This window comes from Homo sapiens, chromosome 2 (genome assembly GCF_000001405.40).
Source record: "Homo sapiens chromosome 2, GRCh38.p14 Primary Assembly".
NCBI lineage: Eukaryota > Metazoa > Chordata > Mammalia > Primates > Hominidae > Homo > Homo sapiens.
Genome location: NC_000002.12, coordinates 138,030,885 through 138,045,046, shown reverse-complemented (window position 1 = coordinate 138,045,046; position 14,162 = coordinate 138,030,885). Strand labels below are relative to the sequence as shown.

General features: G+C 41.4%; 1 long non-coding RNA gene across 1 annotated transcript in view; it reads left to right on the top strand.

The window, feature by feature from the left end:
* Window positions 1-1,308: 1,308 nt before the first annotated feature.
* The window catches only part of LOC107985948 (uncharacterized), a 37,893-nt gene continuing 25,039 nt past the window's right edge, over window positions 1,309-14,162 (top strand). Inside the window, exons 1-2 of the long non-coding RNA XR_001739719.2 lie at window positions 1,309-1,484; window positions 12,551-12,612. This is a non-coding gene — a long non-coding RNA (uncharacterized LOC107985948). The remainder of the gene's footprint in view (window positions 1,485-12,550; window positions 12,613-14,162) is intronic.

The window sequence follows — 14,162 nt, the reverse complement described above, 5'->3', positions numbered from 1 at the left end:
TGAGATGGAGTCTCACTCTGTCACCCAGGCTGGAGTGCAGTGATGCGATCTCAGCTCACTGCAACCTCTGCCCCCTGTGTTCAAGTGATTCTCCTGCCTCAGCCTCTCAAATAGCTGGGATTACAGGCGCCTGCCACCATGCCTGGCTAATTTTTGTATTTTTAGTAGAGATGCGGTTTCATCATCTTGGCCAGACTGGTCTTGAACTCCTAACCTTGTGATCCACTCACCTTGGCCTCCCAAACTGCTGGGATTACAGGCATGAGCCACCACACCCGGCCACATTTCTGTTCTTAAACCACCCTGCCTGTGGTATTATGTTACAGCAGGCTTAGCTGACTAATACAGGATTCTTCTCATTTGCAGGCAAACACATTCTTAAACTGCTCACCTTGTTCCCTGTCCCTTCCAGCCATTGTCTACTATTTTGAACCCTTCTTCACGGTCAACTTCCTAAATCATTTATGTAGTCATCCTTGACTTTTTCCATCACTCATACTTAACATCCAGTTTATTAGTAAATTACACTACCTTTAGCTTTAAAATATTTTCAGATTTTGATTTTTTCTCACCATTTGACTACTACCATCTGGTGCAAGCTGCTATTATCTCTTACCTGGATGACAACGATAGTCCCCAATGGCTCTCTCTGCTTCTACCTGGTCCACCTTGCAGCAGCTTCTGATGAAAACCTACTAATTACCTTGCAACTTAGAGGGAAAGACTGTCTTTGAAAAAAGATTTCTAAAGCCAGACATGGTCTACTCTACCACCCCCTTTCACCACGCTGACCTCACCTACTACCCCTTTTTACTTCATGCATTCTACTCAAGCCACACTGGGTGTTCATTGTTGTTTCTTATCAATGCTATTCATGAAGCCACTTCAGGTCTCTTGTATGTACTGCCTCTTCTGCCTGGAATGTACTCTTCCCAGATTTTTATATATATATATACTTTAAGTTCTAGGGTAAACATGCACAACGTGCAGGTTTGTTACATATGTATACATGTGCCATGTTGGTTTGCTGCACCCATCAACTCGTCATTTACATTAGGTATTTCTCCCAATGCTATCCCTCTCCCATCCCCCACCCGCCGACAGGCCCCAGTGTGTGATGTTCCCCGCCTTGTGTCCAAGTGTTCTCATTGTTCAGTTTCCACCTAGGAGTGAGAAAATGTGGTGTTTGGTTTTCTGTCCTTGCGATAGTTTGCTCAGAATGATAGTTTCCAGCTTCATCCATGTCTCTGCAAAGGACATGAGCGCATCCTTTTTTATGGCTGCATAGTATTCCATGGTGTACATGTGCCACATTTTCTTAATCCAGTCTATCATTGATGAACATTTGAGTTGGTTCCAAGTCTTTGCTATTGTCTTCACAGATACTTTCATGGGGCATGCTCTCTCTCATTTTCTATAGGTCTGTGCTCCGACACCTCATCATGAGAGAGGACTTCCCTAGCCAACTTCTCTGACCTCCCTAGGTAAGACAACAACCATATCCACTCAGCACTCCTTTAAGTCCCTTTAAGTCTGGCTTAATGCTGCATTATTCTTTCCAGCTGACATATCACATATTTATTTGTATGTCTATTGTCTTTCTTCCCTCTACAACAGAAGTAACTTGAGACACTGTCAATTGACTGCTCAGTCCCAGCATCTGTAGCAGTGCCTGGAATGTAGTAGGTCTCAATAATTCTTTCCTGAAAAATAGCTCCACTTTATTATTTCCCCTTTATTCTCAAATTTATTCCAAACTGGTTTTTCCTCTTGTCTTCTGAATTTTCTCTTATCAGGGTCTTCAATGACCTCTGTTCTGCTAAACCCTCAACTAACTTTACCTCTCAGATGGTTTTGACAGAATAAAAAATGACCCTCCTTTTGAATCACTCTCTCTTCCTAACATCTGTGATTTTTCTTCTGTGCCGCTGGCCAATCCTCACTTTCTCCTCCTTTATGCAAACCTGAAGCTGTGCAGTTCTTCAGAGATCTCACCAGAGTCCTCCTCTCTTCTCACACTTCAGTTTCTCTCCAGGTGATCTCATCGCCTCCCATGGCTTTAAATACCATGGGATATTAAAGTCAGGAAATCTATTTTCTCACTCAGCATTATCTTCTGAGCTTTAGGCGGATGCTGTCATTAGGAATCTAGGTGTGATGTGTGGAAACTAAGTGGCAAACCTATTTGTCCTTGAGTGTTACTTCCCTCAGAAAACATTTGATTGCTTAACTTGGAAAGCTGGGAGTCTCTTCCCTTTCCCTTACTTCTCAGATTCAATTCACTAGCAAGTCCTGTCCATTCCACTGTTGAACCATACCTTCTGTGTCCGCTGACTTCTCTTCATCTCCTTTATCACAGCCAAACCACCATCATTCCCTACCTGAACCACTGCAACACCCATCTAAATGGTGTTTCTGCTTCTGCTTTTGTCTTCTTTTAATCTGTTCTCTATGCAGTCACCAGTATAATCATATGATCATGCCACTTCCTTGCTTAAAATACTTCAAGTGACCCGCATTGCAATTAGGTTTTTAAGTCCATCACGATCTGGCCTCTAGCTATTTCTTTTGCATGACGTCTCATATCTCCTGCTCCCACTCATCATCCTACACATGCTTGAACTCATAAATAGCTCTTATTTATTGAGCACCTATTATGTACATTGTGGTAGTTATTTAACCTATTTACTGTATCATTTTCACATTATGCAAAACAAGCATTAATGTCCCTAAATTTTAAATGAGAAAGTTGAATTCCAAGGAAATTAATCATGCAACTGAAATCATATTTGTTAAATGGATGAATAAATGAATGAATGAATTTGACCAATACCACACAGTTGGATGTTATAGATATTATTCACCACACAGGTTTATTGGGATGATACACAGGCCAATTTTTCAAAGCATAAAGTACCAAAATATAAATTTTTAAATCATATTACAGTTTGAAGTTTGTGTTAACCTGTATTAAAAAGGCACTCCTGCTGGGTGGGAAATAGACAACTAAAAGGCTGAGTTCTCAACATTAAAGAGCTTATTTTCTCACTAGGCGGGCAGGGCTTACATACATTGAACTCATAAGGAACAATAAAACATGGCATTTAAAAATCCCTGGGCGAACAACTGGAAAAAATCCTGTTTTGCATGCTGTTGCAGAAGGACACAAATAAAGAAAGGGGGCCCCAACCGATCAACACAGTCAACTAAGTTAGCCAATGGAGTGATGCATTGTAGACAGTCTCTGACATACAGTGTAAAAGCCCCTAGAACTTAGCCCTGAGCACATAACCAACAAGAGTGTGTCAAATCTGAGCTTACCAAATAGTACCTAACAAATGAGGTCTCCGCTGACAATATGTGCACCCCACTCCTACAACTGCCCACTCCATTAACCTCCATACCCTTTAACCTGATGTATTCTCTTCCTTCTCACCACCTGACACCATCTAATTATCTGCTTGTCATCTGCTTGTTGTGTCTCTGGTCTGTAACAGGGGCTAGCACTTGGCAGTTGCTGGAGAAATAATGTGTTACCTGCATGAATCATGAAGCACTAGATTGAACTGAATCCAGTCCTTAACTGAGGGACTCAGAGATTAGGATGGTCACTGTAAAAATTATGGATTCTACTGTTACCCCTTCTTGACTGCAAAATACTGCCTAATTTTCTGCTGTCAGTGTTCAGGATAGGTTTCCCTTCCTTCTTAGCACATCTTGTAATAGGGAAAGCTGCAGCCCCATCCACCCATTGTCCCCAGAGAGTATGACCAGAGGCACAGGCCAGGCCCTCTTTAAAGACCCTCTGAGAGCTTCCCTGGGTAACTGTTTGGTGTCTCAGTGGCCTCACTTCCTTTGCTGCTGGCTCCAACCCAGAAGATCACCAGCTCATCTCCAAATGTGCTATTTATGACGATTCATCCAGATACAGCCTTCCAGAACCCAAGGCCCCACACCGGCTCCATTCAGCTGAGACAATGTGCCCAAAAGCTACTGCAGGTTTCACTAAATTATGGAGCAAATGTCAGACTTCCCTCGCATTATCAGACACACATTTTACATGGCCTCTTTATTGGGTTTTTATATCTTGAGGGGGTCTTAATAGGATGAAAGGGAGGCTTGCTAGGTGCAAATGAGTGCCGTTCGACTATTTAAAGGCACATTTAATTAAACTGGATTCATTGCCTGCATGGGGCAAGTTAAATGAAAACTAAATAGATGGAGTATGATTACATATTATTAAGAAGAGAGACAGCTCTGGAGACCAAATTCTTTTAACACAACATTAAGCTGAGCTCATTTCATATGCACAGTTTAGCACCGGCCTGTAAGGAGAACGTGTTTTGAGAAAATCAGCAGAATGGTTATGAGCTCTAAACAGCTTTTAATAAAATGCAATGTTTCAGGGAAGGAGCAGCTTCTAAGCTTCACTTAAATATGCTAATTAAAGAAAATGAAGTTTCCCACTGATTCCAGGTTCCCTTTGTGTTCCCTCTATTTTTTATGTTCATCGCACCCAGGCTACTTTCTACCTTATTTTGTAAACTCCCAGAAATGCTCCAGATTCCTTATTAAAAAGATATCTGTGCTCACTGTGAGTTGGGAAGAGAAGAAAATAAACCCAAGTCTGCCAAATTGGTGACTTTATTCAAATTGGCTCTCTGGGTCTGGGTGTCCATAGACTGAAATAATCCTCAGCTTCTAGCTAGAATCAAGACTATTTTGACAAATGGACCTCACTGAGTTTAGCAATAATAATAAAAGTAGTTTCCATCTGTTGAGTCTTTGTACTGGGACAGGTGCTTTATAGACATCACCTAATTTGATTCCCACCATCACCCGGGAAGATAGGTATTGATATCTCATTCCACAGAAACAGAAAGGACAAGGCTATTTGCTCAGGGTTACACAGTCAATGGTGTTGCTTGGATTTAAACTCAGGTCTGACAGGCTCCAAAATCCCTGCTCCCTCACTGGCAACGACATCTGCCCTGATCCCATCCAGGGAGTCATATCCCCAGGGAGGGGGTGGTATTTTAAAAGCATGTAAAAATAGTCAACATAATTTTGTATCACAAAAGAGGAGAAAAAAGAAAAACTTACGCTGACTTTCAAAGCATGAACCCTTTTAAAGTAATCTTCTTGGCTGCTGGTCCACAGGTTAAAAAAAAAACAAGTTGAAACATAATTGATCTGATTTACCCATCCCCAAGTTACAATGTTCTGCCGTGGCCCCTCCATTCCTCTTTCTTCTGATAGCAACATCTTGGTGTTACTGTGGAGTCAGCTCTCCCCTACTTTTGGTCCATGTGGCCTAAGCTGTATTTACCCTACCCTTTAGTTTCATGAGTTGGCACATGCCCCTGGACTGGGCAACACGTCCCAAATTGGTTCACAAGTCCCACTCCAAGAAATGATCTCCAGCCCCAGTACTTTTGTCTCGAGCTACTGAGAGAGAGATCCTCCCTGTAGCTGCTAAGCGGATAGGATACATTCTCTTAGTGGTCCTCTTGGCACCACTGTCAGGCAAGGTGAGAACTTTCCTGAGAATGAAGCCCAGCTGAGAGACGGAAAGGTACAGAAGCCCAGTGACATTGTTTGAGAGCTGAACCCAGGCACACATGAAGTCAAATATCTGCACATGGACTTTCTAGTTCATTACCCAATCAGCTCCATTTTGTTTTTAAGCTAATAGGAATCAGTTTTCTGTCACAGGCGTCTGGAAAAGTATGGCTCCCAACCTCACCAATATTACAGTTGTAGAGTCTGAAGCCCAGAGAGGGAGAGTAGAATTTCTTAAAATGTTTACCACTAATTAGTGACATCTTTAAGCTAAGAATCTAGAACCCCCTCCTCTCCAGCCAGATTTGTTTCCTTTACCATAACCTGCTGGGCCATTGCTTCTCAAAGTCCGATCACCAGACCAGCAGCATCAGCATAATTTGCAACTTGCTAGAAATGCAAACTCTAAAACCCCCATCCAAGACCTACTGAATCAGAATCTCTGGGAGTAGGACTAGCAATCTGTATTCTAAAAAGTTCTTCAGTTGACTCTAATGCCTGCTGAAGTTTGAGAACCCCTGCTCTAGATCAATGTTTTTCCAAGTTTTGAATCCTCATCACAAGAAGACATTTTCCCTCCACCATTTCTGCTCAAATTTTCTGTAATTCCTGAAGCTCGATTTTAGGGTGAGATGTTCACTAATCTCTACATAAAAAGGGGCCTTTTGAATATTTGCAGAATTAGAAGGGGGAAGTGGGGTTGGGGAATGCACACCAATGGAGATCTGCCTTGGGAAATCTCAGGGCCTGTCCCAGCCCTCCTCCAAATCCAAATGTGGATGTACACACGGAAGAGGCAGCAACTCTTTAAGGGAGCTCAAGATCTGAAGCTTTGATGTCTAGAAATGGTGTAGGAAGCTAGTTGTTAATATATTCCCCTCAAACATGGGGAATTCAGTAGGGCTACTTCATGGCAAATGTATGAAAAACTGCACGTGTTATGGAACCTGGAACTCTCCTTGCTGCATGCTCAGCTATCCTTCCCTGGGGAAATTCGGTCTTTTCCAAAGAGAATTGTATCTATTATACCTGTGTACTCTGAGGCCTCAGCGCTTTGGCGTTCTAACTTCCTAGGATGGATTTCAGGAGACAAAACTGTGTTCAACAAGAAAAGGGATCATCTGCAGGGGAAAGATTTGGGGGCAAGCTGGTTTTATAGCCATCCTAGGAACACTAGGAATGCTTCTGCATCTTTACAATGGTTAGTCATAGTTATAATTCCCGAATGCCCCACAACCTTAACTCAGGCTATTTCCAACAATTTCTACTTATTATTTTATAAGGTCAACTATCCCTTTCCTTGTAAAACTATTCCTGTCTTCCTTGACATTCTTTATTTTGTGTGTGTTACCATTGATTCTTATGCATGATTTTGTTACATTTATCACGTTAATATTAGGAATAATTCAACACTAAGAATAATTTGTATAATAATAGATAATACATTTTATACTTATTATTATCTATTTTGGGGCAGCCAGGGAGCTCACCATCTTGAGAAGTTAATAACAGCTGCCATAAATCCAATACCTGACATAAACCAGGTACAGTGCCTAGTGAGTTACAGACATTATCATAGGTGAGGAAATTGAGGCACAGAGTTTGTTGCTTGTCCAAGGTTGCATAGCTGATGAGTGGTGGAGCCAGGACTGAACCCCAGTCTTAACCCCAGTAATTTGTCATATAATGACAAAATTATTCTTGCCATTATATCTATCTCCCTCTCTCATTCATTCATTCATTTAACCTACACTTAAGTCACTTCAGGAGAACCTTCTCCTTACTGCTTCCACAGTGTGGCTAGGCATGTGGACATCCTGAGGGAATACCCTTCAGGGATTTCTGACTTCCACAAGCTCACAGAATGGTAAAGAGAAAGGCCCCAATACTGCAAAAAAATAAATAGGCAAATACAATCCGGTAATGATAAGGGGCTCTTGTCTTGGATCTTCATAGTACTGCTCTTTTACAGACTGCAAACCTCTCAGTACATCAGCAGTGAAATCATAAAAAGATTGTTATTGTTTCGCTGTTTTTTGTTTGTTTGTTTTTTTCATACAGAAACAAAGTTCATTACTTTGCAACATCTTCAGGCTCCAAGGAAGATCAAATTAAGCAGGTTATCTTGGTACTGTCCATTATCCCAGGCCTGCTTGCCTATCCCAGCTCTAATTGCCAGCTTTCCTGGGCAGAAATAATTCCAAGCTGCATGCTCTGCATTTTCTCCTCCTTTTTAATATCATCAGATTTGAAATAGACATACACGGCAGCAGAGTTGCTGGAAGTATTATAGAAGCCCAGTAGGAGATATTTGCATATTTATGAAAATAGTTTACCTTCTGCTATGACAATAACAAATGTTCACAGTCTCAGCAATTTGCCCACTTTATTTGAGGAAAACCAGGAGTGCATTAACAATTTAGGAAGGGCTTTTGAGGGGTAGTTACACCACTATCTTATTTTCCTTGAAGTTATCATTTCGAGGGTATTTTTTGGTGCAATTTCTAATGCAAGGAATGACCATCTTCTGACAATGATAAACAGGGAAACTTTTTCAATCATCCCCAAAATGTGCTGAGAGTTTAGGTCAGACTTTGACAAACTTAGTGTTACAGTTTATACTAGGAATTCATACCCAACAAATTTAACTTTTGCCTATTTTTCTGATAACTACTTACGATTGACTCGTCGGTCTCTTGAATTGTTTTCAGTTTTCTAAAAATATTTCTGATGATGTTAAGCAAAGAAGGATGCGAGTCTGACTCAGCAATAGTTAACTTGCAACCTTTCTCTAGAAAGAGAATAAGGATGTCAGAAAAAAAATGTTTTCAAGAAGAAAGATGAGTACGGTGCCTTTAATGACACTAAGTCTCTGTCTAGCAGCCAATATTTGTATAAGACTATTCTATCTACAAGAACAGTTTACTGTAATTTTAAAATGGCCTAAAATAAATGAGACCCAGGTGGAAGAAGCTGAATGGTATACTAGAAAGAGCAGAAGTTTTGAGGTTAGACAGACTTGGACACAAATCCCCACTGACTCACTTACTTGTAGTGGCCTTCTGGAAAACATTTTAACCTTTTTGAGCCCCCATTTTGTGAGCTGTAAAATGGGGATAATCTTGCCTAGGGTTTCATAAGTTTGAGCTGACAAAAAGAGCCTCTAGTTCTGAGCACATAGTGCTGGTAGAATGTGAGTAGGTGCTCAGTAACCTCTCTCACAGAGTATGTGTTCCATGTTTTACTATTATTTGTGTTATAGTTATCGTACAGTTTAAATGCTGTTACTTGTATTAGTTTTCTGTAGCTGCTGTGACAAATCACCACACACTTGGTGGCTTACAGTAACAAAAGTTTTTTTTCTCTTAGAGCTCTAGAGGCCAGATGTCTGAGATTAAGACATTGGCAAGCCTGTGCTCCCTCCGAAGGCTCTAGTGGAGAGCCTCTTCTTGCTCTTCAAGCTTCTGGTCACTCCATATATTCCTCAGCTTGTGGCTGCAGAGCTCTAATCTCTGTCTTTGTCTTCCTGTGCCTTTCTTCTGTTTGTCTTCTCTTGTTTTGCCTGTTTTAGAGACACTGGTCGTTGGATTTAAGGCACACCCAGATAACCCAGGCTGATATCATCTTGAAATTCTTTACTTAATGACATCCTCAAAGATTCTTTTTCCAAATAAGGGCACATTCACAAGTTCTGGAGATTGAGACATGGACATATTTTTTTGAGAAGCACCATTTAGTCCACCACACCAGTATATTGTGAAACTACCATGAGCCAACTTTCACAAGATGATTTATTTCAGTTGCTTAGCTTTAAAAAAAAAAAATTTGCGCCGTTATTAAGCTGAAGAATAACTAACTCAAAATATTGCAGAGATTAAACAAGAATTGAGAGCTTTGGGTTTTGTTGTAATAAGAACCTTATATCTTGGTATAAACTTTGATAATTTATAGCCCCACTGTCCATAGTATCTTTAACTCAGGGGATCTTTGATACTCGCCTCACACCTTTGGTTTGTTGCCTCTTGATCTTGGGATTCTCAGGCCTGTCATGAACTTTGCTCCCTGATAAGTAGCTGGATGGGTGCTGGGATTTAGACAAAAGTACAGTCATTTTCAAATCTCACTTTAAATAAATACATCAAATCCATATTTTAATCTTTCCTTTGCCTTTAAAAATAAACCAATATAGATAGAACTTTCTGACACCCTTATAAGCTAGTTTGAGATCACTCAACTCATTTGCATGGATGACCTCTACTTGAACTCATTTCTCTGGAAATAAAAGTTTAGTGCACTACTAATTCAACTTAGAAAGTAATTGGAAGACTTCAGCAAATGAGGAAAATTCTCATTTTATAGGGACTGGGGACTTAATTCAAATGAAAAAACCTTCATTGATGACATGAGTTAATTGTGCAGTTAACATAAAATAACCCTACCTAGAATTATAAAGACTCTGAAAGTATCAATTTGCAGGTATCAATGATTAAAAGATTCTTTAACAGAATATCACATTTGTTGAATTTTCTGCGTATTGTATATTAAAGAAGACAGTCAGTGACCACTAGTAAGTCTAATACTTTATATAATTTCATTTGATGGAACCCTATTACAACCTCAAAATCTAGATATAGTGTTTCTTCAGTTTCCAAGACATCATACTCTCTCTTTTGCTGAATCCTTAACTTCTACCTCTAAACGTCAGAGATCTCACAGCTCAGCCGTAAACCGTCCTATCTAGTTACATACCTCCTTGGAAATTCCATCCATTCCTCTGGCTGTTAATACTATTCACATGCTACTAATGCCCAAATACTCTATCTCTCTAAGGTTGAGTCCTATATCAATCTACCTATTTGATGTTATTACTTGGATACCTCATAGTCATGTCAAAAGTAACCTGCTGAAAATTAATTCTTTTAGGTTGGGTTCCCTAAAAGCAGAGGCTCAGACAAGAATTCTCAAGTAACTTATGATATTGAAATTGATTTAGTGATAGTCAAGTGATTTATTTAATTAGTGCTCTCAGAAGGGGAGTGAGAAAAACAGGAGAGGGCTGGGCAAAAAATGTAAGTGAGTCTAGCTTCAACATGATCCCATACAGAAGCTCTGGAATGCAAATTGTGCACTCAGCTCGTCCCACCTTGAGGCAAGGAAGGAGACTGGCCTTTTGTTGCCACATGTCAGTTCCAGCTTCCTCAGGAGTGACAGATTGTAGGACCTAACTTCCCCAACACTGCAACTACTATCTTGCTGGGGAAAAGCTCCAGAGAAGGTAGCAGCTGTGAGCAACTAGCATCCAACACTCATAGCAGATGGGAAATGGGCAAATCTGCCAAGAGAGAAGGCAAGAACAGGGCACCAATAACATCCACTATAGCTTCTTAATTAATCCTACACTACGTGGTCAAAGTTCTACCTACCAATTCTCCCTGATATCCACCATCTTTCTGTTTCTTCTCCCAATAACCTAGTGATGCAGGATTTTTCTCAGTCACTTTGCCAGCCAGGGACCTCCACAGCCAGTGACATCCCCACCTGGGCCTTGCTCAGTCCTGGGCCTGCTACAGGAGGTGCCCCATTCACTTGGCCTGCTGGGTCACACCTGGCTTGCACACCAGCCTGGATCCTGCACTCGCCGCAGGTTCTGTGCTTAGCCTGTGGCTAGGCTGGGCCTGCCCCAGCCGACTTGTGTTACAGCTCATACCCATGTTTGGTGGTTCCCAAGTTCTTGTCCTGCATCTAAGAAGAATAAGGTTATGTGGACAATCAAAGTGTGAGGAGGGCAGAGAAGAATTCTATTGAGTGACAGAACAGCATTCAGTTCCTCACAAGCTGAGGAATGTATGGAGTGACTAGAAGCTGGAAGAGCAAGAAAAGGCTCTCCATTAGAGCCTTCAGAGGGAGCACTGACCTGCCAGCATCTGCAAGGGTGGTCTCCCTCCCAGTGTAGCTGGATCCAGAGCTTTTATGAGCTCAGAATGGGGAGTATGTGCTGATTGGTTTGTGAGTATGCAAAAAAAGCTTAAAACAAAGGCACCACTGAAAGGTGGGCACAACAGTATAGAAAACCAATTAGGGAAGGGTAGGTATATGTAAAATAGGTGAAGGGTGAGGATCAATCAGAAGAAAGCCACCAAATGGGAAAAGAGACTCTCAATCCAGAACGTGGATTTGACTCATAGCTTGGCTTCCAGGCTTTAAACTGTCTCGGCTTGAAGGTAGGGTTTCATGGGGGACCCGCCCCTGTCTGTCTTCTGGCACTATCTCTAGGCCAAGCTACTACCACGTCTTATTTCAACAAGTAAAATGCTTCCAACACATGCCTCTATGTCCACCTTACTCATCAGCAATACATTGACCTCAGAAAAGCCAGGATTATTATTTTTTAAACACAAATCTGGTGGCTCCAAATACTTTAATGTCTTCTTATTGCCTTTATAACTAATTTCAAAACCAAGGCCAAGATCTCAGAGCCACTGTGGCATTAGGCCCCTGACTCCAATGCACTCTCCAATGATCTCTCCCTCTGATATACTATGCATCTGATGCTTCTGGTACTTTGGTCCATTCCTATATCACTAGAAGCTTCTGCCTTGTGACCTTCACTCATGTTATTTCCACTAATGAGATGAGAATACTATTTCTTTTTTTGAGATAGAGTCTCACTCTGTCACCCAGACCGGAGTGCAGTGGTGCGATCTCAGCTCATTGCAACTCCTGCCTCCCAGGTTTAAGTGATTCTCCTGCCTCAGCCTCTCAAGTAGCTGGAATTACAAGTGCATGCCACCACGCCCAGCTGATTTTGGTGTTTTTAGTAGAGATAAGGTTTCACTATGTTGGCCAGGCTGGTCTCAAACTGCTGACCTCAGGTGATCCACCCACCTTGGCCTCCCAAAGCACTGAGATTGCAGGCATGAGCCACTGTGTTCAGCTGAGAATGTTTTTTCTAAGTCTCTGTTTAATTTTGTTTGTTTTCATCACTCAGGGCTCAGGTTCAAGGACAATTGCCTGAAAGAGACCTCTTCTGATCTCACCTTGTTCACAACGGTAATCACAATCCACAAGGTTATTTGTTCTCTGAAAAACCTAACTATTGAATGAGCTGGATTTGGTGTATGAAAGCAGAAAACAATTTTCTATTAACCTTGATCTCTTAACTCATTATCCTCCACACTGGGTAATCCTATTGCTTCTTCAGCTTCTCTCAGATATTAAAATTCCAATCCAGTGAAACATCCACACTTTTAATATCTTTGACTTATACTATTTAAAGCTTTTTATCTCCCCCAACTTGGATCTGCCTTGGGCTGGTAAAACGGCATTGAACAAGTAGGGCATGATCAACTTCTTTAGGATTCCCCTAAGCTTGTGTTCATCTCCTGGCTGCACCCAGCTGTCAATGCTGAGATTTAACTAAATAAAAAGTAGCTGTAAAATAATCTGTTATTAGGTGGGAGATGTAATAGGTATACCTGCTATTTTTGCAGGTAGATGACAATATATGAACAGTTCCATCCAGAAAGTCATGTGATTCTACTCAGTTTGCGATTCAGTTTGTGATTCTACTCAGATAATGAGTCAAGAGATAAAGGTTAATCAAAGAACTAATCAAAAGTAGTTCTTTCCCATCATTTAACTTTTTGTAAAAGAAGGTTTCATATTTACTTTTCTATTTGGGACCTACTGTAGGCAATTATAGCTTTCACAATATGATCCTTTAGAACTATGGTTAATAGCTTAATAGCCCTTTTGAGAATTTCTGGATTCTTGAAAATCGGAGCCCCACTAATGCGAAGGAAGTTTGCCAACAACTGTGAACACTGGAAGTGAGTGGGAAACTGAGTGTTGGTGCCCAAGTCCCAGACACAACCTCCCACTGAATGGGTCTGTTAGTGAGAGAGGGATGACCCTAGTGGGAACTGAAACAGCCTCAAAGCTGGAGGCCCTCCTCTCCCTCCCCTTCTGCACTATCCTAAGTTTCTGTCAGCACTCCACAACAAAACCTCACCACCTTACCCCAAGCTGTTAAGTGTAAGCTTGGTTGTACTTCATATCTTGAAGATTCTTATAGGCATCTTCAGATCTTCTGGGGTAATTAACTTCTGACTGCTAGAAATGACCAAAATCCCAACTTGTATGCCTGTTCATGGAGCTGTTTACCTTCAGATCTGTTTCTCAAATTTCCCCCTGCTCTGCTATGTATCACAAAGGGTGGGGAAGCAGTGGAGGGAGAAGGCTAGCTGACCCCTGCAGACTGTGTTTTCCAGGATCCTATGCCAAGAAAGGTACTAATGGAAGATTGGATGTGGGTGGGAAGGAGGGAGAAATTCCCTCTTCTGCATTTAGGGTGTGATTCCCAGGAGCCACTGTTTCTCCTCTGGGTCTCCAGAAAACCCTGTGATGAACTGCCCTGATTCCATTTTTCACCAGGTGACTGTCACCCCAGTGCTCCAGTAACAACACTCCCTTCTGGTCCCTTCAGACTTAGGGTAGGAGCTTCCTACCATCACTCATTTCTGGTTTGCCTCCCTCTGTACTGGATGCTTTCTCAGCATCCTCCCTGCATTCTATATAGCTGTGGAAACAATTCTCTGTGT